The 24,825-nt window shown below is 39.2% G+C and overlaps 1 long non-coding RNA gene and 1 pseudogene across 1 annotated transcript in view; both read right to left on the bottom strand.

The window, feature by feature from the left end:
* Positions 1–24,825, bottom strand: part of LINC00499 (long intergenic non-protein coding RNA 499) — a 114,634-nt gene that overhangs the window by 70,855 nt on the left and 18,954 nt on the right. The gene's annotated exons all lie outside the window — the stretch shown is intronic.
* On the bottom strand, positions 15,902–15,960 carry LOC124900888 (uncharacterized; annotated as a pseudogene).

Below are 24,825 nucleotides of genomic sequence, written 5' to 3'. Positions count from 1 at the left end.
GTTGGCCAGGATGATCTTGATCTCCTGACCTCGTGATCCACCTGCCTCGGCCTCCCAAAGTGCTGGGATTACAGGTGTCAGCCACCGCACCTGGTCATTTATTTTTATTTATTTTACTTTAACTTCTGGGATACATGTGCAGAATGTGCGGGTTTGTTACATAGATATGTATGTGCCATAATGGTTTGCTGCACCTATCAACCCATCATCTAGGTTTTAAGCCCCTCATGCATTAGGTATTTGTCCTAATGCTCTCCCTCCCCTTGGCCCCCAGCCTCCAACAGACCCCGACGTGTGATGTTCCCCTCCCTGTGTCCATGTGTTCTTATTGTTCAGCTCCCACTTATGAGTGAGAACATGCAGTGTTTGGTTTTCTGTTCCTGTGCTAGTTTGCTGAGAATGATGGTTTCCAGCTTCATCTATGTCCATGCAAAGGCCACAAACTCATTCTTTTTTATAGCTGCACAGTATTCCATGGTGTATATGTGCCACATTTTCTTTATCCAGTCTATCATCGATGAGCATTTGGGTTGGTTCAAATCTTTGCTATTGTAAATAGTGCTACAATAAACATACATGTGCACGTGTCTTTATAGTAGAATGATTTATAATCCTTTGGGTATATAGCCAGTAATGGGATTGCTGGTCAAATGGTAGTTCTGGTTCTAGATCCTTGAGGAATCGCTACACTGTCTTCCACAATGGTTGAACTAATCTACACTCCCACCAACAGTGTAAAAGTGTTCCTGTTTCTCCACAGCCTTGCCAACATCTGTTGTTTCCTGACTTTTTAATAATCGCCATTCTAACTGGCGTGTGATGGTATCTCACTGTGGTTTTGCTTTATATTTATCTAATGACCAGTGATGATAAGCTTTTTTCATATGTTTCTTACCACATAAATGTCTTCTTATGAAAAGTGTCTGTTCATATCCTTTGCCTACTTTTTGATGGGGTTTTTTTTTTTTCTTATAATTTGTTTAAGTTTCTTATAGATTCTGGATATTAAATCTTTGTTAGATGGATAGATTGCAAAAAATTTCTCCCCTTCTGTAGGTTGCCTGTTCACTCTGATGATAGTTTCACAATTGCTACAAAGACAATAAAATTCTTAGAAATACAACTTACAAGGGGTGTGAAGGACCTCTTCAAGGAGAACTACAAACCACTGCTCAAGGAAATAAGAGAGGACACAAACAAATGGAAAAACATCCCATGCTCATGGATAGGAAGAGTCAATATCATGAAAATGGCCATACTGCCCGAAGTAATTTATAGATTCCATGATATTCCCATCAAGTTACTTTTGACTTTCTTTGCAAAATTAGAAAAAACAACTTTAAATTTCATATGGAACCAAAAGAGAGCCTGTATAGTCAAGACAATCCTTAGCAAAAACAACAAAGCTGGAGGCATCATGCTACCTGACTTCAGACTATACTACAAGCCTACAGTAACCAAAACAGCATGGTACTAGTACCAAAACAGATATATAGACCAATGGAACAGAACAGAGGCCTCAGAAATAATGTCACACATCTACAACCATCTGATCTTTGACAAACCTGACAAAAACAAGCAATGGGGAAAGGATTCCCTATTTAATACATGGTGCTGGGAAAACTGGCTAGCCATATGCAGAAAACTGATACTGGACCCCTTCCTTACACCTTATACAAAAATTAACTCAAGATGGATTAAAGACTTAAATGTAAAACCTAAAACCATAAGAACCCTAGAAGAAAACCTAGGCAATACCATTCAGGACATAGCCATGGGCAAAGACTTCATGACTAAAACACCAAAAGTAATTGCAACAAAACCAAAATTGACAAATGGGATCTAATTAAACTAAAGAGCTTCCACACAGCAAAAGAAACTATCATCAGACTGTGAATTAGTTTATATATAATTTAGAGAAATTAGTTATTCTTTGTGGGCCTTAATTTTAAATCTTGAAAATTGGGGATGGTGTTCAATGATTTCAAATGCATTTAAAACGTCATAACACTTTATGCAAATATTAATATAGTGGTCAGGAAACTGATCTCTCTCTACATATGTATATATCTATACATCATTCATATAATGAATATGTGAATAAATCCCAAGTGGAACTAGTAACATTATTGCTACCTTGGGGTGAATGTAAAAAGAAAGCATTTTTCTTGCATTTTCTTTTGTAATAGGTATTTAGATGTGTTTACATATGAAAGCAAAAATATATTTTCTGTGGGCAACTTGCTTGATTTGTTAGGAATACTTAATCTGAGTTTAATTTTTTGTACAGAAGTTTTGGTATACCTACACTTGTCTACTTTGCAGACATTTATATTAATATTATAAAGAGATTACATAAAAATCATATTAATACTTCTTTTAATCTTCATTTTTGTTGCCTAGATGGTTGTCTATATTCTCTATAAGTCTTTCTTAATTTAAAATTTAATGGTTGGCTGATTCAATCACAGAAATTTTTAAATGTTCATGAGAAACACATTTATCCTTATTGCCGTAGTTCAAGGACCTTTCTTCTTCTTGAATAATATGTTATCACAACACTCTTGGGCCTTATTTCTTTTTATGCTCCCAAGGATTTTTTATTTTCTTCTTCTTTTTAAAAATCATTTAAACAATACTTTCTCATCCTAAGACAACAGAGCCTACCCACTATTTTCTCCAACTTTCTTTCTAATGTAGTGTTCAAATGCCAATTTAGGTATGACTAATGCTTGTAAAGCACTCAGTGCGTTACATATACTTTTCCAAGTTCATCACTTTTATTAAATACTTGTGAGGGAGGTACATTATCATCATCTCCTCTCCACTTCATAGATAAGAGTGAAGCTCCAAGGGGTTAAATAATGTACATAGAGTCACATAATATTGAATAGGCAAGCTAGGATTCCAAGCCCAGCAGTGCACCTCCAAAACCATGCTCTGAACCACTAACCCACAGTGGTTCTTACTGTCTGAGGGACTGTCTACACTTAATGGATATTGACCTGCTATGCTAATGGAACTGAACATCAAGACCTGAAAATCTGGGCAGGGCTCTCCTGCATAAGAGGTTTTTTGGAAGTTTTCTCCTTGGTCATTGAGTAACTGTGCTTTATGTGTATGTGTGTACTAAAAATAGAGAAATGTTAATCCTGTGAGCTCTGCTTAGTTTTCTCACATTATAGAAATCTGCAAATAAATCAAGCACCAACAGATCTGAGTTTTCCAAGATATTAAGTCATAAGAATAACCACATTTTTATCTTGCCTCTCCACTCATCCTTCACTTAGGCTTTGGAGTACCTTATTGAATGCTCCCAAGCGTTCATGGAAGTTCAGGTTAAGAACAGGCCAGTTTTTTCATCTTTCCAGTTTTCACCTCAACTACAGGAGGTGCCATTCCCATGACAGAGGTGAGCTACCCTGCATGTGACGTTTCCAGGGAGAAAGGTTTTAAAGAAAAGCAAATGTTCAGCTAATGCCAGTAAGTGTTCTGCAAATAGGGATTGTCAAGCTTCAGATCAAGATTGTTTTGTTCTGGACAATTGAGCCTTTGCAGTCTGTGTCCTGAGTGAAGCTGGAAGCATGGTAGCTCTTCTCTTCAATGACCTCCCCCCATGTGCTTCCCAGCGCTGCTTACCTGGACATGAAGTGATCAAAATCAGAAGCTGCCTCTGCCTTCCAAGAGAGGAGAAACTGGGCAAAGGACAGGGAATTAACGCAGGCAAAGTGAGATCCTACATCTTTGTGGGACTTTTTTTTTTTTACTGGGGCTGAAAGAAAGGAAGATGAAGAAAATTGTGCTCTGAAAATCATATCACAGAATCTTTTGCACATTTGCTCTGCTTTTGAATCAGCTAGTGGAATGGAAGAAATGGGATCCTGGGCACAATTATAGTTATCTAGGATTTAATAGTACAGGTATTTTTCCCATGTTGGTCAGAAATTTATTCTCATCATTAATTCAGCTTTTATTTTTGACAAGTGCCCAAAGCCCCCATTATTGCTTTAGCAGTCAGTCACTTGACATCTATTGAGTACCTACTATGAACACACCCTTGAAGGAGACTAATGAAGTTTTCTAGTGTTTATGTTGCTCCCAAACTATAGGCTAATGTGCATGTTCACGTTCTTAAATATGTCTAAAGCCCTAACACCTGTCTTTCCTTGGGGTGTTCACTCACATCTATGTAATAAGTGAAATAAAAGGTACATAAAAGTGAAGCTATGTTAGGATCAATCTTGTGACACTGTGTATGATGTTACCATAAGTATGTGCTTTATACCTCATTATTCACAGTTTGTAGAGACTAGGAAATACCTATGCTAAGGAAGACAGACATTAAACAATTAAGGGACATTAAAAAATCCAAATTAATAAACACTTCTCTGGCACCCACTGTCTGCCAAATATCATGCTAGATTCTGGGCATGCAAAAGTGAATATGTCCCTCCCTCACAGAGTTCATCATCTACCAAAGAAGCTCCCATGCTAGTTTTGTATGAACTAATTCTAGTATCTTCGTAAAAGTGTCTTTATTATTTTTTATTTCAATAGCTTTTGGGGTACATGTGGTTTTTTGTAACATGGATGAATTATATAGTGGTGAATTCTGAGATTTTAGTGTTCCCATCACCTGAGTAGTATACATTGTACTTAACGTGTAGTGTTTTTATCCCTAGCCCCCCTCCCACCTTCCTCCTTCTGTGTCTCTAAAGTCCATTATATCACTCTGTATGTCTTTGTGTACTCATAGCTTAGCTCCCACTTATGAGTGAGAACATATGATTTTTGGTTTTCCACTCCCGTGTTACTTCATTTAGAATAATGGTCTCCAGCTCCATCCAAGTTGCTGCAAAAGACATTATGTTGTTCCTTTTAATGGCTGAGTAGTGTTCCATGGTGTATATATACCACATTTTCTTTATCCACTCATTATAACTGTTTTTATTAAAGCAATTGTGCCACATGCAGGGTTAGGGATATTACTATATAACAATAAGGGGTAAAAATTAAAATATTGGGATCCAAAAGGCACCAAGGGCACTCTACCTCCCTGTGACATCTGCCATCCTGCTAACGTGCATTGATGTGCATGTGGCTGGCTTGTGAGTCATTTTCTCTTACTTCCTCACAGATTTCCTTTCAAGCCATGTTCTTAGAGAGGCTGCTCTTCCAGCCACATCCTGCCCTTGAATGAAGTCTTTGTAATGAGCTGAGTTCCCTCCTTTTACCTGTAAAACAATCTCAAGGTCCATTCATGAAGAACAGAGTCCTCATTGTTCCAAGTCCCACAAATGATATGATGTTTTTCAAATGGCCAATGAAAAGCTGGAAACTTCTTAGGAGCCCTTGGTAGCCCTGTGGCCTTTCCTTTAGCTAGATTGTCGTGAGGTAGAGAGGATCTGGGTTGTATCTACTAACTGAACTTACGCTAAGGCTACTTCAGAGGTATACCTGGGTGTGGTCCACAGTTAACTACTTGGAATTGCAACTCTTATTCATTAAGGCAAGAACCAGAAATCAAACTCTCTTGATGACACTTGGTGGAAAGTCAATTCACCCAGGAAAACTCAGGGACAAACCAACTACTCTCAGATTAAGGAAGTGGAGAAGAAACTACAAAGCTTCCATACAGCATAGGCTATGGAAGTTTACAAGTATCTCATATTGCACTAGAGTCTGTAAGATGATTGGAACAACCCTCCATACATAGGCATAAAACAACATTCTTTTGAATAACAAAATACTTTGGTTTCAATATTTGATAGAGGCAGTTAATGTGAACAGGAAGATGATGTGTTTCAGGATGTTTACTTATTGCAAACACACATTTAAATCAATATTCCCACCCAGGATTCACTGTGTATATGGGTTCAGGTGCATTTTGCTTATGGTGTTGGAAAATTAATCAAAAATTACATTGTCAAAAAGTGGTGAAATTCCACACATTTGGACTATCCATTTCAAGGCCTGCTTCTAACACAGAATAAGCACTTGTGAGCTATTTTAGTGTGGTAGAAATAGAATTATAATCCAGAATTCTGCACTTTTATTCTGAAAGAAAAATATCCTAAGCTCTGCTAGTTGAAAATAACTTGTATAGTTCCATGTGTCAGATCTTCTTCAATTACACAGCTGCAGATTATACCTTAGTTCTCCAGAGATGCTATACAGGTTTTGCTGTACAAACAGACTTGCCACGGAGACTGCAATTACCCTGCCTTTTGAGATTTATAGCATATTACTCAATTTTAAGAAATATGAGCAATTTTCAAATATTTTAAATATTTACTATTTCACATGTAATTAATAACTACAGTACCTCAGCCTTAATTAAATTACAGCTTCTAGTATCATTTTATATTGAAGGCTTTGGTATCTTTATGGATTAATGGCATAAGCTAGGGTACAAAATTCTTGAATTTTATAGTAGTAAATTACAGCTAGCTTGCTTTGTGCCTGGAGATGTGTTTCAGTTTTCTTTACTTATATAATTCATGTATTTCTTCTTGACCCACTTTATATTCTTGTCCTTTTAGGTTGCAGGGTTATAATTAAGGATTACTTGGAGGCCAGATTCTTCGTTCTTTTGCCTGTCTGTCTAGCTGTTACTTTGTTTGAAGAATACAATGTTCTCATCATTCCTAGTCTTACCAAGTATATGATTCAGTCCTTGTCTTTGGAAGCCCCATTGCTGTTTTCTGTTAACCTCTAGGATCATTTGGCAGTGGCGCAGGGAATATAAAGCGCTCTTCCAATTGCGACCCATCTTCTAGCAGGGAGACTCACAATCTAAACTCCATGACAGACTATTTGCGACCTTAAAACAGAATCAAAATAGCCTTTGTTTACCTGTATTTGGAAATATATTTTGGACTGTACATATAATATTCTCATTGCCCCAAACACACAATTTGGACAGAGTCTTGCATTCCTCTTCCAGAATTTTAAAGTTACATAAAGTTGTAGTGGCTGCATATTCATTTTGAAGTCTGCCAGTCAAAAATCATTCACATCTGCATTTCATGAGTGTTGGGCCAAGCTAGGATGGAGAGATATTATCTTCATCATTTCAAGTTCTGAATTTTATATGCAGGTTACAGATAAAATCATAAGGACAAATAATCCATCATTATCACTTACAGTCCACAGCATTTTCTGTTGCATGGACTAAAGTTTCAGGTTATGTACTTACTATAAATAAGAAGAGGATAAGAGCTAACATTTACACGGCATTTCCCAAACATTAATTAATTCAGCAGCAAAATAAATATTATATCTTATGACAGAAAGCTGCCCAAATTTTATAACTAAATTATTTATTACTTGGGAAATGTTTTAGTTGTACGGCGATCAGATAAGCAGAAAAAAAGGGACTGCAACACAAGGTGTTCTTATTGTTCATGTTTGCACTGAGATAATTTGATGGGCCTAACTCTTCATAGGGAATACACCTGGTATTTTAACTTACTCCAGTGATAGTTACACAGCAGTAGGCACACAATGACTAGCTTATAATACTGTTTAAATAAGTTGCAAATAACAAGTCAAGAAAACTATAAATAAAGCATTAGTTAGACGTAAACAAATTAGAAATGTGGATGAATCTGAGAGTAGGGATTTGCTGAGAAAGGATAAATGATAAGTGCATTTGTTTCTCAGGGCAGCTGTACCAAATTCCCACAAACTCAGTGGACTCAAACAACACAGATTTATCATCTTACGGTTCTGGAGGTCAGAAGTCTGCAGTGGGTCTCACTGGGGCAAAATCAAGGTATTGGCTTGACTATATTCTTTTCTGGAGGTTCTAGGGAAAAATGTGATTTTTTTTTTTCCAGCTTTGAAGCCTGCCTATGTTCTTCCATTTCTGGCTCCCTTCCATTTTCAAATTCAGCAAAGGCTGTTCAAGTCTCACATTGTATCACCATAAGACTGACTCTTCGGCCTCCCTCTTTCAAGTTTGAGGGCCTTTTTATTACATTGGGCCCACCTGGATAAATCCAGGATGCAACACCTATTTTAAGGTTAGCTGGTTAGCAACCTAATTTCACATGCAACCTTAATTCCCTTTGCTAGGTACCCTAACATATTTAGTTTCCAGGATTAGAACATAGACATCTTTGTGGGACCCTTATTCTGCTTATCACAGGAAGGTAATATGATACAGTGATGTGATATAGCAGAGCGCCCACCTCGTAAAGTCAGGACTGGCTCTAACTTGATAAGTATAAGGACCACCTTGATCCAAGCCACAGCTCATGCCTCTGGAGTTTCTACTATAATATAGCTAGAAAGAATTACCCAAGTCAGAAACCTGAACATCATCCTCAAAGCCTCTCTTTCCCATCACCTACATCTGATTTTGTTATCAAGATCTGTTAATTTTGCCTCTTAAATATCTCCGGAAATTCTTCCCTTTGTTGCATTTCTTATCTTATCTTCTTAGCTCAGGTTCTCGTCAACTTTCACCAGAACAATTGCATTTATCTCCCAGCAGGTGTTTCTGTTTAAAGTCTGAAGTTAGCCCATCTCTATTTCCCACATAAGTATCAGGGTGGGCTTTCTAAAACACAAGGCTGTTTATGTCATTTTCCTTTAATAATCACGTAACGGCTGCCCATCCTTCATAGGAGAGATTCTCATCTTGAGAGAATCACAATCTTTCTAAAAAGGCATTTTGAGCTACTGAAATGTAAATTTTCACTCACCTAGCCCAAGTTTCTAAGATGTTGCTTTAGGGATCATACCCCTTCCCCCTCATTGATCAACCATTTGAATACCATTGTGTAAGTATCTGGTACACAAATAAGCACAACTATTAGATACAGAGTGATTTTTTTTTCTCTCCATGGTCCCTTAATGCTTTGTTCTTTGGAGCTAGTTTTTACTCTGCTCTTGGTGAAAACTCCACCATACCACTGACCTTTGTAATTAATCTTAGGTAATACAAAGTCATAGGATCATCAAATATATATAGCTGGGGAGAATTACACAAGGAGAAACCCAAGCATAATATTCAAAACCCTGTCTTCCTCACTACCTACATAAAATATGTTCATCAAAAGCCTTCAGTTATGCCTCTTAGACATCTCTTGGATTTGTCTAGTTTCATATTACAGGTAAAATGTCCAACTGCACTCAGATTACAGCTATTCTTCTTTTCCTAACTAAGGCCGACTGGTGGAAAGCTTGCAGTTGGGGAAGTGGATGTGGTCAGACTTTTCATTTTGGACAAGCTCTTCTCTCAAGTTGAAAAGTGTGGTTTCTAATTGTTTTAAATGTAGTGGAGGAAGTGATATGTGGGCTGGAAATATCCTACTTGACTGGTATATTCAAAAGTTGATTTCATACTCTCAGGACATGGCTGAAGTTAAAAGCCTTCTTCTTCTTGGTTGCTGAAATTGTGGTTCTCTTTAGAAGTCTCAACACTGGGACTTCTAAAGAGTACATGTAGATGTAGAGCACTCATCTACATTTCCCTTGATGCAGGTGATATACTTTTCTCTGACTCTAGGAATGCTGTATTTTAAGCATTGTCATGCTGAGGCCTGTTTGCCCCTATGGGTGACCCTGTAATAAAGGAGTTCACATGTAGCCCAAATCTAGTTACAGCAAACACTCTTGCATGCTTTGTGTCAACCAAAGTTGGGAGTCAGGCAACTGAAATATGCTGCCTCCCCTTCCTTCCTCCTGCTTGGAACAGCTGGCCAGCCCCACTCTGCTTTTTGAATTTTCCCTGTGGGAATCAGACTTCAATCCACTGTGTCACTCCAATAGCAAGGACACCTACCAAGCTCTCGGTTGAAGCTCTCTCATTAGGGTTGAGGTGAGAGGTGAACAGATCCTTTCCCTTGGAGCTGGTGTTTCTCACAGCAGATTAACCCATGAGTAGCTCTCTCTATGGTCCCCACTAATTCTCTCCACAACTGCTGTCTAAACTCTTATGTTCTTCACATGCATGAGAGGTTTAAGTTTCTAATAAGTACTCTTTTTACTTTCACTTGGTGTGATGGTTAATTTTATGAGTTAACTTGTCTGGGCTACAGGTGCCCAGATATTTGGTCAAACATTCTAGGTGTTTCCGTGCAGGTGTTCTGGAATGAAATCAGCACTAAAAACAATAGGCGGAGGAAAGCAGACTGCCCTCCCTAATGTGGATGGGTTCATCCAGTCAGTGGAAGGTCTGAATAGAACAAAAACACCAACCCTCCCCTGTGTAAGACAGAATTCCTCCTGCCTTGCTTCCTTTGAAACTGGGACATCAGCTTTTTCTTGCCTTTAGACTCAAACTGAAACATTAGTTCTTCTTGGATGATGAGCCTGCCGGCTCTTGGACAGGCGCTCCACCTTCAGCTCTCCTGCAACTCCAGCTTGCTGGCTCTGTCTCTATCCACACACACATCCTATTGGTTCTGTTTTTCTGAAGAACCCTGACTTGGTGATCTATTTTGCAACTCATTTTGGTTTCTAATACTTGTTGCCATATATTCATAGCCAAATTTCCACTTAAACATCGTGCTACACATCTCACATGTAATGAAAAATGTATCTGATTGGAGTGTATTATGCATGTGGACAGTATAGATGAAGAAAAAAGATAAAAAACCCTTTCTAAATCTACACTGTCAAATACAGTAGTCATGAGTCATGTTGGCTGTCTACATTTAAATTTAAAACAATTTAAATAAAATTTTTAAAAAATTGGGTTACTCTGTGGCACAAGACACATTTCAAATTCTCAATAGTTGCATGTGGCTAGTGGCTACCATACTGCACAGCACAGACATGTTGTCGGTGGGCCAGTTCAGGTTCCTGATTTCATCACACAAAGGAATTTGACAGTGAGTCCAAATAAAAGTAGACAAAGGAAGTCAGGTGCAGTGACTCACACCTGTAATCCCAGCACTTTGGGAGGCCGAGGCGGGTGGATCACCTGAGGCCAGGAGTTCGAGACCAGCCTGACCAACATGGAGATAACCCATCTCTACTAAAAATATGAAAATTAGCTGGGCGTGGTTTGCATGCCTGTAATCTCAGCTACTCAGGAGGCTGAGGCAGGAGAATCACTTGAACCCAGGAGGCAGAGGTTGTGTTAAGCAGAGATCGCACCATTGCACTCCAGCCTGGGCAAAAAGAGTAGAACTCTGTCTCAAAAAAGTAAAAAATAAAAAAAAATAAAGGAGTTTATTGGAAAGTAAAAGTGCACTCTGACAGCTGATCAAAGTAGGCTGCTCAAAAGTAAGACAGCACCGACTGATGCTGGGGAAACTCCCTTTATGAGAGTCTTACATGATTTTCATGAAGGGATGGGAATGGGCATTGTTGCTATGCATGTTGTCTGTGGTCTTCTGGACACATATGCACTATTGCTGCCATCCTAGTACATATATTGCATGCCTCCTTAGCATCTTAATTCTCTACATAGCAATGTTTTTAACTATTATAATGAGCATAGGTCAGCCCAAAGACACTGATCATGGGATTCTGTGCTTGTAAAAATTTGGGGACTTTCTCCCCTTCTCTTTTACCAGCTTGTGGCAGGATGTTCTAACCATGAGCCCAAGATGTGGTTTGTGCACTGTTGGGTGGTTTGTTCCTCTTTAAGAGAGCTATGACCACCTTATCTAACCCACCTCAGATGCAGAAGATTTCCCTCATTGCAGAATGTTCTATTTGGCAGCGTTACACTAGATATGTCCAAGTGCATTAGAGAGTACACCAGGCCCTTCCTTCTTCTGACCAAATCATCATTATTCTCTAGCTTACATCTTCATCTAGGCATACAGAAGAATTTGCCACTTTTTAAACTTCACCCAGGTTGCTTCCTGTCTCTGAAATGCTCTTTCTTCGTTTTTCTTCTTCTTGCTCAACTTCTTATTTCACTCAAGTGTCCTTTATACTGTGGAAATTTCCTTATTTCCAGGAAGAATGAGATAGTTACCTTTGCTCTTCTAATGCCCTGTCTATTCTTCTATGGTTGTGCTTATTTATTATTACATTAAATTTTTATTGTTCATGTCTTTTCCTGGGTGTTCACTGGGTTCTGAGCTTCTTTAAGACAGGGACTGTAGCTGACCTGTACAGCTCCTGCCACAATATCTGGCCTGAAGAAGACACTCAGCATATTCTTAAATGACTTAGCCAGTGGCAAAGACCCCCATTGGATTAAAAACCACCATGGGATGCATCTACTTCTGGATCAACCAGGAATCTGTTTCTAATATAATTTCCCCTAAAGTCCATGATTATTCTATTATATTCTCCTATATTATTTAATTCATGATATAGCGTTAGGGGTTGAATTGTGTACTCTCAAAATTCATATGTTAAAGCTCTAACTTCCAGTACCTCAGACTGACTGTATTTGGAGAGTCTTTAAAAAGATGATTAAGTTAAAATGGGGCCATTAGGGTGGATCCCAAATCCAATCTAACTGGTGTACTTGCAAAAAAGGGACATCTGGATACATAGAGAGATGCCAGGGATACATGTGCAGAGGAAAAAACCACGTGACAACACTGCAAGAGGTGGCCAAGGAGAGAGGCCACAGAAGAAGCCACCCTGCTGCTACCTGGTCGCAGCCCTCCAGCCTCCAGGACTGTGAGAAAATACATTTCTGCTGTATAAACCACCCAGCTTTTGATATTTTGTTATGGTATTCCTACAAAACTATATGCATAGGAATATATCTAATACAGCCAAGTAATTTTTCAAAATATTAGTATGTTAAGATAACATATTTTAAAAATAGAATAATTTTATAAAATTTTAGTACTCAAGAAAATTATATAACAAAACTATTCTGGTATTTTTTGTGATCTGATGTCATATGTTACAAAGAACATCAACTCTTCCTGGGTCTTGGGCCTCCTGACTTTTGGATAGGAACTATATAACTCACATGTACACATTTCTATATTCAACACTGTAACTAGTATCTATTGCACATGTAAACAATGCATTAAGTGAATTGGTGGCATTAAGTGAATGTTGTACTGAGTATACACATTTTTCCTTCCTTTTTAACAGAGCTGGAGAAAAGTGAAAAATGCTGGGTTCCTGTGATACAATTACCTAAATAGCCCCGGTATTTGTATATACCCAATGTCCAAGCTCCCCAGATTGCCTCAAGATAAGCTAAATTTTAGAAAATTTTTTTGGTTAACTATTTCTTCTGTTTATTGGCAACGTGTATTTTATTTGTGCTAATTAACTGCCTAGTGTACTTTGTCCATCTTTCTTTTTTTAATTTTTAATTTTATTTTACTTTAAGTTCCAGGATACATATTTATTTAACCAAAAAAAAAAAAAAAAAGCAAATCCAAAAGACATATTTTTACTTCTGAAAACCTATAGGTATAACTGATTTTTACCTATGCTAGTCATTCTGATGATTTCTGTAACTTCTAGTGAGAAAGTGTTGGGATCTTTTCTAAAATTGTGATCCTCATTTTCTACCACCTGATGCAGAAATAACCACTGTTAGGAAGAGTTCTTTGGCTATCTAATTCAGTTGCATATAGAGGGGCTTCTAAAAGTCCCAGAAATCAGTCACAATAGTTTTCTATCTTGGGAAAAGCTCACATTTGCTTTATAGTAACATGCAGAGGCTATCATATTGAGACACAAACCTGAATTCTCTATTTCTCGGCTTTCGATATAAAGAGCTATATTGAGTTCATTCACCCTGTGGGCTTGCCATTCTATGAGTCTACATGATTGAATTTTCTGTTCCATTGATCTGGTGTGGAAAGATGCTGGTAGGAGTCTGGCATAATCAGCGAAAGACTGTCCTAAAATTTATATTTTATTACCTTCTTTTTCTATGTCTGGTAACCACCAAATAGCCACCCTAAAGACCGCTTGCTTTCTATACATTTCTATTCACAGTGGAGGAATATATGGACTGAGCGAGGTGTAAGTTTACAAACATATATATATGCTTGTGTGTGTGTGTGTGTGTGTGTATAATTGCATGTGTATTTATTTTTAGAGGCATATATCATAAAACACATAACTTACAATTTTTATACTACAGACTCAAACTCATGTAAAGAAGGAGTTGCTTTACATTTGAGTTCATTATCTTATTCCATCCTCACAGAGACTTTATGAAGTAGATACTAGTAATATCTAAGTAATATTCTGGATCCAAGGTCACTATAAAATCAGGCTGACTGCAATTAAAACAATTCTCTATGGCTTAGCCCGACAAAGGTTAATACTCACTCGCAAATACTAATGCAGAATTTCTAGTTGGACAGCTTGGCTCCGAGGGGCTAGATCTGGGCCCTTTCCATTAAGTGACTTTACCCTTTCTAAAACTTTCACTTCCAGATGCACAGACTAAAAAGAGTAGGTTTGGAAAATTTCTTGGAATATTTTAGGAGCATGGTGTGAAAGAGGCTTCTATCACTTCTGGCTGCATTCCAGGGCTTGCTGTCAGTCATATGGCCAACTCAGCTGCAAGGGAGCCTGGGAAGTAGAGAGACACACACTGTTATATGCACACTCTAATAGTTCCTGGGCCCCTCACGCAGTCAGTAAGTAGAAAAACCCCAGAAACTATAAAACCTACATTAGAAAACATGTCTGGCAAATTACTTTGAAATACTGTAGGTGCTTTAGTACAATTCAAGAATATTTCCAAACTTCTTCCTGGAACTTTCTGTTTATCAATTTGTAGATCTTAAGGTATTTCATATAAATATAAATTATATATATATATATATATATATATATATATATTTTTTTGAGATGGAATTTCACTCTTTTCGCCCAGGCCGGAGTGCAATGGCGTGATCTCGGCTCACTGCAACCTCCGCCTCCTGGGTTCAAGCGATTCTCCTGCCTCAGACTCCCTAGTAGCTGGGATTACAGGTGCGTGCCACCAGTCCTGGCTAATTTTTGTATTTTCAGTAGAGACGGGGTTTCACCACATTGGCCAGGCTGGTCTCAAACTCTTGACCTCAGGTGATCCACCCGCCTTGGCCTCCCAAAGTGCTGGGATTACAAGCGTGAGCCACTGTGCCCGGCCGGTATTTCATAATTTTGCTGAGACAGCAATAATCAAAAAACAAATGTAACCTTGGCTGGCAAAATCTTCAAGGGTCCCCACTCTTGAAATTGAGAACAACCTTTAATCATGAAGTCAATAGTTAATTGTGCTTTTATAAGATGAAGGTTAACTGATGAGGATAATGAGCTATGAATGTATTTATTGGTGCTCAAAGCAATGTTGGTATCACCATGAAATTTTTTGGTAAGAAGTTCATGGAAGTTGTTTATTTGCTATACTAATGCAGGGACTAACAACTGTAATACTCCTGCTGAGTATATCACTGACTAGACCACAAATACCTGACACTAGATTTCATGCTTTATTTATTTATGTATTTTTGATAGGGTCTGTTGCCCAGGCTGGAGTGCAGTGGCACAATCATAGGTCACTGCAACCTCAAACTCTTGGGCTCAAATCGTCTTTCCTCCCTCACCTCAGCCTCCCTAGTGGCTAGGACTACAGGTGTCTGCCGCCATGCCCAACTAAGTTTTTGTGTTTTTTGTAGAGACAGGGTCTCACTATGTTGCCCAGGCTGGTCTCAAACTCCTGGCCTCAAGCAATCAACTCCCAAAGGGTTGCGATTATAAGTGTGAGCCACTGGGCCTGGTCTAGGTTTCATATTTTAAATATTGCCTTTATTTTCCTAGTGAATACCATACACTTTCAATTATTGCACTTGTTACTGGTAATTTACAGAGGACCATCACATTTCACATTACCAGTAACTTGAAAAATTATCAGATTTATAGCAAGTAAAGCATATCATATCTGTCCCAATTGGTGGTAGAAGTGACTGGGTTTTTGTTGTTGTTGTTGTTGTTTGGTTTTATTTTTGTGGGAGGTTTTCCGGTGAAAACTAGAAATCCTGCTAGACAAATTCTGAAAGAGCTGCTTTTGACTGTGGTATTAATCTTGGCATTATTGTTTTTGCTGTGTAATCTTGGGCGAATTATTCTAACTCTGCAAGCCTCAATTTCTTCATCTATAAATTGAGGATGAAAATATTGACCTTTTCTGGAAAGGTTCCTGTAAGATAATACAGTTAAAGGACTTAGTATGGTTAACTGACATATTTTTCCTCCAAATGTTAACTCTAATAGTAATAAAAACAATCATTGTAAGTGTTATTACTATTATCTTGGTCCCAATTTATTTTTCTTTAAAATGGAGACAATAATATCTGCACTGCCATGAGAAGTAAATGAGCTATATAAAAAATGTGAGATACGCAATAGTCAACCAATTGAAATTGTTTCACTATCCCTTTCTAGCCAAAACAGAACCCAAATTTCTCTCTACATTCGGTTACAGGACCTTTGACACTGATCTGGTAAGTCCTTTAGGCTCATTAACAATTCTTTAGATTCTGAATGTTAAAGACTATTTTTGTAAATTTTCAGTGTTGAATGAGAGATACTTGGTGTTTAGTATTTCTTTGATCAATTTCCACAACTTTCTCCATTTGTGAGTTATTGAGTTGGTTGTATCTGTTATAAACCACTCAAGTTGTGAATAAATGGATTATCCAGAAGGCAATATAGACTCTTCATGTGTTTACATGGAGTTAGGTTTAGCTGACCCTAAAGCTATGACTTCTCTAATTCTAGAGGTAGATTTGCTTCTTGTTTTTTATTGCTTGTACATAGAAGATCTATTGTCTGTTATGAGAGCCATATATACAAATAGGTTCTGATTTATTGAGAATCTTAGATTTTCTCTGTACTGTATTCAGATTTAGCATTCATGTTATGCTGCCCTGGGTAATAGCCATTGCCATGGCACAGGGATATAATTAATAAACATTCAATCATTTGACAACAGTATTAGACACCCAAGTCAGCAGACTATCAATTACAGCAAGTCACAGGACTACAGGCATTGACAGTTATCAATTTTAAATCTTCAAAAAGAAGATTTAACTAATGATTTGAAGTAAAGAAAATAAGTAATGCCTTGGGGAAAATGTCTTCAGACCTTCTGAATTTAAATATAGTTAATGCAATAGTAAACTGATTTTCCCTTCAGAATTGGTGGTGTTTTCTACTGAACTGTTGGTTTTGCAGCACTAGATTAAATTGAAATCCTCAACCGTACTGAAGAAAGAAGTAGAGCATCTGAGTAAGTTCAGCTGCATCTCTGCTTTATTCTTGGAGTAGAGACTGCTCTTGAAAGCAATTCCTGCTGCCTTGACAATTTCCCTTTCTCTTTTGGATTATGGAAATCACTACTACAGTAGACTTGTTATTCTTGTTCTGCATTGCAGTCTTTCTCCCCATCTGTGTTTCTTTCTTAATTAGAATTATCTGCCATCTCTCACTACTAAAAGTTAGGTAAAAGTCATGATTCTCCAGGCTTCTAAGCAGCAACATGATCAGTAAGACCAGCTTCTGGCAGGAAAATGAAATTATTTTTAATGTTAAACAAGGTAACTGCAGGATTCCACCTGCAGCCCAAGTATCACTGGGAACTGATAAAAGATGAAGTCAAGATATTTCCCTCTGATCAAATGGATTGCCTTTCAACATAGCTTTTTAAAAAGAATCTCATCCCAAAAGCCACACAGCTGTAAGCCCAAGATGTAGTAAGAAATGAGCCGCTTATAGGAATTGGAGATTAGCAGAGCCTCATTAGGGATCCAGGCAGGGTAAGCCACAGAGAGGCAGCTGTATTTTTCTGTGGATGGGCCTGAACCCTGGAACAGATGCATTTTGGGGATATGCAATTTTATTTTGGGCCACATTTGCCTAAGGAATAAAATGTTCCAAGAGACTCCAAATACCATTTCAGGGAATTTTAATGTACTAACCTAAATTAGCTAACTTATTGGGAAAGAGGCTCTGTTCATATTTACTGAGATGTCCAGCCTCAACTCTCAGAAGTGTCTGGAGGAGATGTGTATTACTGTAGTGAACTGGGAAGTTGTGGGAGGCTGGATGAATGGGGGCAATCTGGGGAAGATTACATCATGATTCATATCTCTCAGGTGAGGCTGATGCTTACTCTCCTTAAATTGCTACAGTGCAGGAATCAGCATGGTTGTGCCCTTGTAAAGTGAATGAAGACATGCAGAACTATTAATTTTCGAAGGGCTTTCATTTTCTCAACGTAAAGACTAGCTTCCTAGGCCAAAATTATGGTCTCTTAACCACATGAGGACCTGTGCTTTCCTTAGTAAAGGCAGTATTTAAGGAATGTTGACGAAGGTTCATGTCATGTGCTTTTGTGTGTTTATTTTGCAAAACATCAATTTAAATATATAGAGCAGTAATATCTGTCCTAAGCAGTATGCACATAGCCCTCATGAAAGTCATTTTGCTACCCTACAAGAACATTCCTTCTATGGATCAATAATACACTTGGAGAGATGATTTTGATTCAAGTCGTTTTCTTGCCTTTGGTTCCTCCTTTTCCAATGTGGTTCAAAGGTACTGCAGCAATGTTGTTGATTACGCACACACACACACACACACACCACACACATCGACACTCACACCCACACACACTCAGAGTCAGTGAGAAAGTCTATGGGTAATCTTGACCTGCAGTGCACTTCTTTCTTTCCCTGTAAAAGTTGCCAGGTGATCATACACAGCAGGAAAACATCAGAATGTGTAAATCGTAGAGAAAATCCACAGGGTAATCATTAACCTCAGGCAAGCAGCAGGCCTGTCCCTCACATTCTCACATGCAATGCTGATGGAACAGGTGGTGTAAGGCAGTTACTGCCATGGTGGAAAGTGGGGAGCACATCTTAGGAGAAACTGTGGTCTGTAATTATTTGGGGGCTGACAGTTGCTGAACAACTTCTCTAACGATACCTGACGCACGTCTTAATGCTTTACTCAGGCAGAAAGTAAACTACTTTACAACCAGAGTAGGCACCGTAACTCACTGCCAGCTTCCTATTTCATAATTCCTGGCGTCAGGTATGGGTGGAACATGCCAGGACTCTGTATTTATGGTTAACTCTTTAAAAAGTATTTAAATTCTTGAAATAAGTCTTCATGTATAGGTATAATCACTACTTTTTGGATTATGGTAGTTAGGGAGGAGAAGTGACGGGGAGACTTCTAGCCTTAGAAGAATTTGGAGTCCCTCAGAAAAGTACCCTATAAATTCAAAGGATAATCATCTGGGTCATTTTTGTCATTATTTCCATCTAAACAAGTTTCTAGATGTATGGTTGGACATAAAAATAATCTTGTGGAATGTAGTTCTTGGAGCCATGAGAAATATGGGCAGACCCTGGGAAGAAATAGCATCCTATTGGTGATGTCTTCAGGGCTTGCTGACTCAGAAATCTTCAAAATGCAGAGCACAGGAAAGCTGTGCAAGATCCAAGAACCCTCTTCACTTTGCACAACTGCTTCCTCATATATTTGTGCCATCTGGTTGAAAGTGATTACTGTGACTACCGAGGAAAATAATACCCCAAATTATCCACTCAGCTTCAGTTGGCAGAACAGAGAAACAAAGCATAAAGAAAATTTGCATTATTTCATTGAGATTACATGTATCAATGCAAGGTGATATGGTTTGGCTGTGTCCCCACATGTTGTGGGAGTGACCTGCTGGAAGGTAATTGAATCATGGGGGCAGGTCTTTCCCAGGCTGTTCTTGTGATAGTGAATAAGTCTTACAAGAGCTGATGGTTTTAAAAGGGGGAATTTCCCTGCACAAACTCTCTTCTCTTGTCTGCCGCCATGTAAGACATGCCTTTCACCTTCCGCCATGACTGACAGGCCTCCCCAGCCATGTGGAACTGAAAAGTCCATTACCACCTCTTTTTCTTCCCAGTCTCAGGTATGTATCAGCAGCATGAAAACTGATGAATACAGTAAATTGGTACCAGTAGAGTGGGGCACTGCTGTGTGAAGCCCTTGGTGCCCTGCATCCCAGCTGCTCTAGCTGTGACTAAAAAGGGCCAAGGTATAGCTCAAGCTGTTGCTTCAGAGGGTGGAAACCCCAAGCCTTGGCAGCTTCTATTGGTGTTGAGCCTGCGGGTGCACAGAAGTGAAGAATTAAGGTTTGGGAACCTCCGCCTAGATATCAGATGTACAGAAATGCCTGGATGCCCAGGCAGAAGTTTGCTGCAGGGGCAGGCCCTCATGGAGAGCCTCTGCTAGGGCAGCACAGAAGGGAAATGTGGGTTCAGAGTCCCCACACAGAATCCCTACCGGGGCACTGCCTAGTGGAGCTGTGAGAAGAGGGCCACCATTCTCCAGACCCCAGAATGGTAGATCCACCAACAGCTTGCACTGTGTGCCTGGAAAAGCCATAGACACTCAATGCCAGCCTGTGAAAAAAGCCAGGAGGGGGGCTATGCCCTGCAAAGCTATAGAGGTGGAGCTGCCCAAGGCCGTGGGAGCCCACCTCTTGCATTAGTGTGACCTGGATGTGAGACATGGAATCAAAGGAGATCATTTTGGAGCTTTAAGATGTGATTACCCCACTGGATTTTGGACTTGCATGGGGCCTGTAGCCGCTTTGTTTTGGCCAATTTCTCCCATTTGGAATGGCTGTATTTACCCAATGCCTGTACCCCCATTGTATCTAGGAAGTAACTAACTTGCATTTGGTTTTACAGGCTTGTAGGCGCAAGGGACTTGCCTTGTCTTGGATGAGACTTTGGACTGTAGACTTTTGAGTTAATGCTGAAATGAGTTAAGACTTTGGGGAACTGTTGGGAAGGCATGATTGGTTTTGAAATGTGAGGACATGAGATTTGGGTGGGGCCAGGGACAGGATGATATGGTTTGGCTGTGTCCCCACCAAATCTTATCTTGAATTCCCATGTGTTGTGGGAGTAATGCAGTGGGAGGTAATTGAATTATGGGGGCAGGGCTTTCCCGTGCTCTTCTTCTGATAGTAAATAAGTCTCAGGAGATCTGGTGGTTTTACAAAGGGGAGTTTCCCTGCACAAGCTCTCTTCTCTTTTCTGCTGCCATGTGAGATGTGCATTTCACCTTCTGCCATGATTGTGAGGCCTCCCCATCCATGTGGAACTGTGAGCCCATTAAACCTCTTTTCCTTCCCAGTCTTGGGTATGTCTTTATCAGCAGCATGAAAACTGAGTAATACAGAAGGAGAACATCTCATTCAGAAGACTACCTTGATAAACCTTAAGGATGAGGAGGATAAACTGTGGTCAGTGTGTTTTAGTAGCCAAAGTTCTTGGATAAATTGTATTCTCAGGATGGCAGGAGCTGTTTGAGGCTCTTTTTGTTTGCTGAACATGACTGGAATGTGTTTGAATATAAAAAATGTGCAATAGGTGCTGAGGTAGTGAAATGACTCCTCATGTAGAGGAAAGAATGAGAAATTTCTGAGGAAAACCTGGGGAGAGGAGAAAAGGATCCAAAGTCAAGATATTGCAGTAAGAAAGTGAAAAGTCAAAAGAAAAAAAAATCTTCCATGGAGGTTTAGCTGAAGAGGGGTTTCAGAGGCAAGAATATATGAGAAATTTTAAATTATTTGATTTAGGGTGCAAAATGTTAACCTTCTTCTCCATTTTCTTTATGCAAATGTTAGAAAATCTGTTAGAGGCATTTAAACCAGAGCAACTCCATCTTGAATAGGGGCTACGTAAAATAAGGCTAAGACCCCCTCGGCTGCATTCCCAGATAGATAAGGCATTCTTAGCCACAGGATGAGATAGGAGGTCAGCACAAGATACAGATCATGAAGACCTTGCTGATAAAACAGGTTGCAGTAAAGACGTTGGCCAAAACCTACTGAAACCAAGATGGCGACTTGAGTGACCTCTGGTCATCCTCACTGTTATACTTTGACCTGCGACATGACGGTTTAGAAATGCCATGACAATGTCAGGAATTTACTTACATGGTCTAAAAAGGGAGGCATGAATAATTCACCCCCTGTTTACCATATAATCAAGAAATAACCATAAAAATCAGCAACCAGCTGCCCTCATGGCTGCTCTGCTTCTGGAGTAGCCATTATTTCATTCCTTTACTCTCTTAATAAACTTGCTTTCACTTTACTCTGTGGACTCACCCCAAATTCTTTCTTGAGCAAGATCCCAGAACTCTCTCTTGGTGTCTGGATCAGGACCCCTTTCTGGTGACAAATCTACATTTCACACTTATGGGGTATGTGTGTATTCCATAGGACCACTCAGAGAAGTAACAAGTTCTGCACCCAAGTTTTCTCAGAGAGCAAAAAATGCATTTACTGATCACCTCAGTATCAGGAAGATTAGGAAAAAGCTAACCTAATTCTTTCAGTTACTGGAGAGAAATCAAACCAAAGCAAGTTATGGGGGGCAGGGAGGATACTAACTCTGGCCTGAGAAAGAAAATGCCTAAGTGCAATTAAAATGAAAGACCCCGAAGGAAACGAAAATGATAATAAAATTATTTTAATTATCATTATTGTAATTATTTTTAAATAGAGTTGAAGATTTCCACATTGCTTAATTGTTCCAATGTTGTTACTATTTTCTTTTCTAAGCCTCTACTGATTATCTTAATACTTATTACATCTGAACTCAGAACTCTCCTTTTATCCCTCTAGAGATTTCATTTTAGAGTTGAAATAACAATCTTGGTGCTATCATGATTTGCCAACTCAAACAAAATGAGAAGAGATCAAATACATAATAGCCAAGTAGGATATGTGGAGATGTTTATTGAGTTGCATCACATTCTGGTTTTCTGTTGATGTTCTTCCTTTTGTTTGTTTTTGAAGACTAGGAGACCACTCGGCTCATCTGACAGAGGCAGCCTGTGGATCAGCAAATCCTAGGAGCTAAAAGGAACTTAGAGATTATCACCTTCTCAATCTATGCTGGAGACTTATCTGTTCTCTCACAGTCTAAAATAGAGATTTAGCCCCGACTTGAATTATCTAGGGGTTCACAAGGCTGATAAGGCTGATAGTTAAATTTTCTGAACCTCTGAATTATTGAAACATTTTTAGGTAAGCCAAAGGATGTTCACTAAAATTATTTTCTGTTGTCTCCGGAGGCCCAAAGTTGGAGAACAAAACATTCTAAATCATGGAGCTAGACTTGCAAAGGGGGTGATCCTAAATTAGACCTGCCTGTACTAGTTATCACTCATTCACAGGCGTCTATAAAAGGCCAGGGTTGAAAGCCTTCCAGAAAGACATTTCTTTGGGGAACATTTTCTGTGTCACTGGGATAAGGGGAGAAGAAGGTACTTTCCACCGCACTCTAAGTGAGAAACCTTCAAGGAAGAATCAGGCTAAAACCCTGAAATAACGTTTTGGTCAAGCTCTTGATGTGTGAAGATGTGATACTTGAGTTACTCTTGGTCTAATGGGAGAGGCTGTGGCTGGAGCTGTGCTTTGCTGGTGTCAAAAGGAAGAAAAATGACTTTGAGAGTGAGCTATAGAACGAGCTGCACTTGCTCCAGCTGTAGGCAAATGCATGTCCTTACTATTATCTAGATTTAAATCGCACCAAAAGGAATTGGCTGTAGGTCAGCTTGAAAAGGATTCCACCCAAAAGGACTGCCTGAAGGGACAAGGAGAGCACAGCAGAGGGACCCAGCAGAAGCCCAGATTAGTCCTAAGCAGCCGGCTGGAGGAGCAGCCTTGCCCAGGTTGACCGGCAGTGGAGGAATACCCAGTAGAAGAGTTTCTAGGAATCTGCAGAAACACTGTTGAGAAACACTGTCAGCAAAAAAGCCCTGAAAGTAACTCAACCAACCGCATACAACTGAGCCGCTTCTGCCTAATCTTCTCTCACTACCTGGGTCTGACCTGGGAGCCATCACAGAGTAGCTAGGGAGTGAGGGGAAGAAGTGGAGCTGGGAAGAGAGAGGAGGCCAATCTCTCATGCACTTCATATTTCCAGCCAGATACAGGGGAAGGGAGAAGCTTCAAATAGGATAAGATTCAAAGCTTTTTATATTATTGGGTGGGGCTTTGAAAAGTACTGAAATGAGACTGTTCTTGTGACTAAATGTGGGCAGAGAGGCTTGTCCTAGATGCCAATAAATGATGAGGAAAGAGAAACACCCTAGGGGTGTATATGAAAGGTCAGAGGGCAAAACCTTGCTTGCTTGCTTATTCTTTATCTCTCTTTCCCTCCCTTCCTTCCTTCCTCCCTCCCTCCCTTCTTTCTTTCCTCCCTCCCTCCCTTCATTCCTTTCCTTTCCCTTTCCCTTTTTCTTTTTCTCTTTTTCTTTCTTTCTTTCTTTCTTTCTTTCTTTCTTTCTTTCTTTCTTTCTTTCTTTCTTTCTCTTTCTCTCTTTCTCTCTTTCTCTCTCTCTCTTTCTCTTTCTCTCTTTCTTTCCCCTTCCTTCCTCTTTCTCTCTTTCTTTCTTCCTTTTTTCTTTCTCTCTCTCTCTCTTATTCACTCACTCTCTTGCTCTTCCTTTTTGTATCCTACTGAGTCCAACTGATTCAATAAATTAGTTATAGTTAAACTGATAGCAATTGATTTTCTTTTTCTTCAGCTTTGGTTTTATTCCTGTCTCTGAAGACACACATAAATCATTTATTCATTTACTAAATTCAACACCTTCAAAGATTTGAAAATAGCATTAATGGGGCCCCTGAAATTCTTGATATTCAAGGTCCAAAATCCTCTGATTCCTTAGCCATTTTTCATTTAACTGTATTTTCATCCTACATCTGGTCACCCTTTTCCCCTGTCATTCTAGGTTTATATCACTCCTCTTAAAACTGAAGCTTTTCTTACGAATGCACTCTGAGCATAGTGAGGCTGTTCCTGCCATAGATCCTGTCAGGCCACACTGCATAGTGATCAT

Source organism: Homo sapiens, chromosome 4 (assembly GCF_000001405.40).
Source record: "Homo sapiens chromosome 4, GRCh38.p14 Primary Assembly".
Classification (NCBI taxonomy): domain Eukaryota; kingdom Metazoa; phylum Chordata; class Mammalia; order Primates; family Hominidae; genus Homo; species Homo sapiens.
This window is presented reverse-complemented; position numbering and strand designations above follow the sequence as displayed.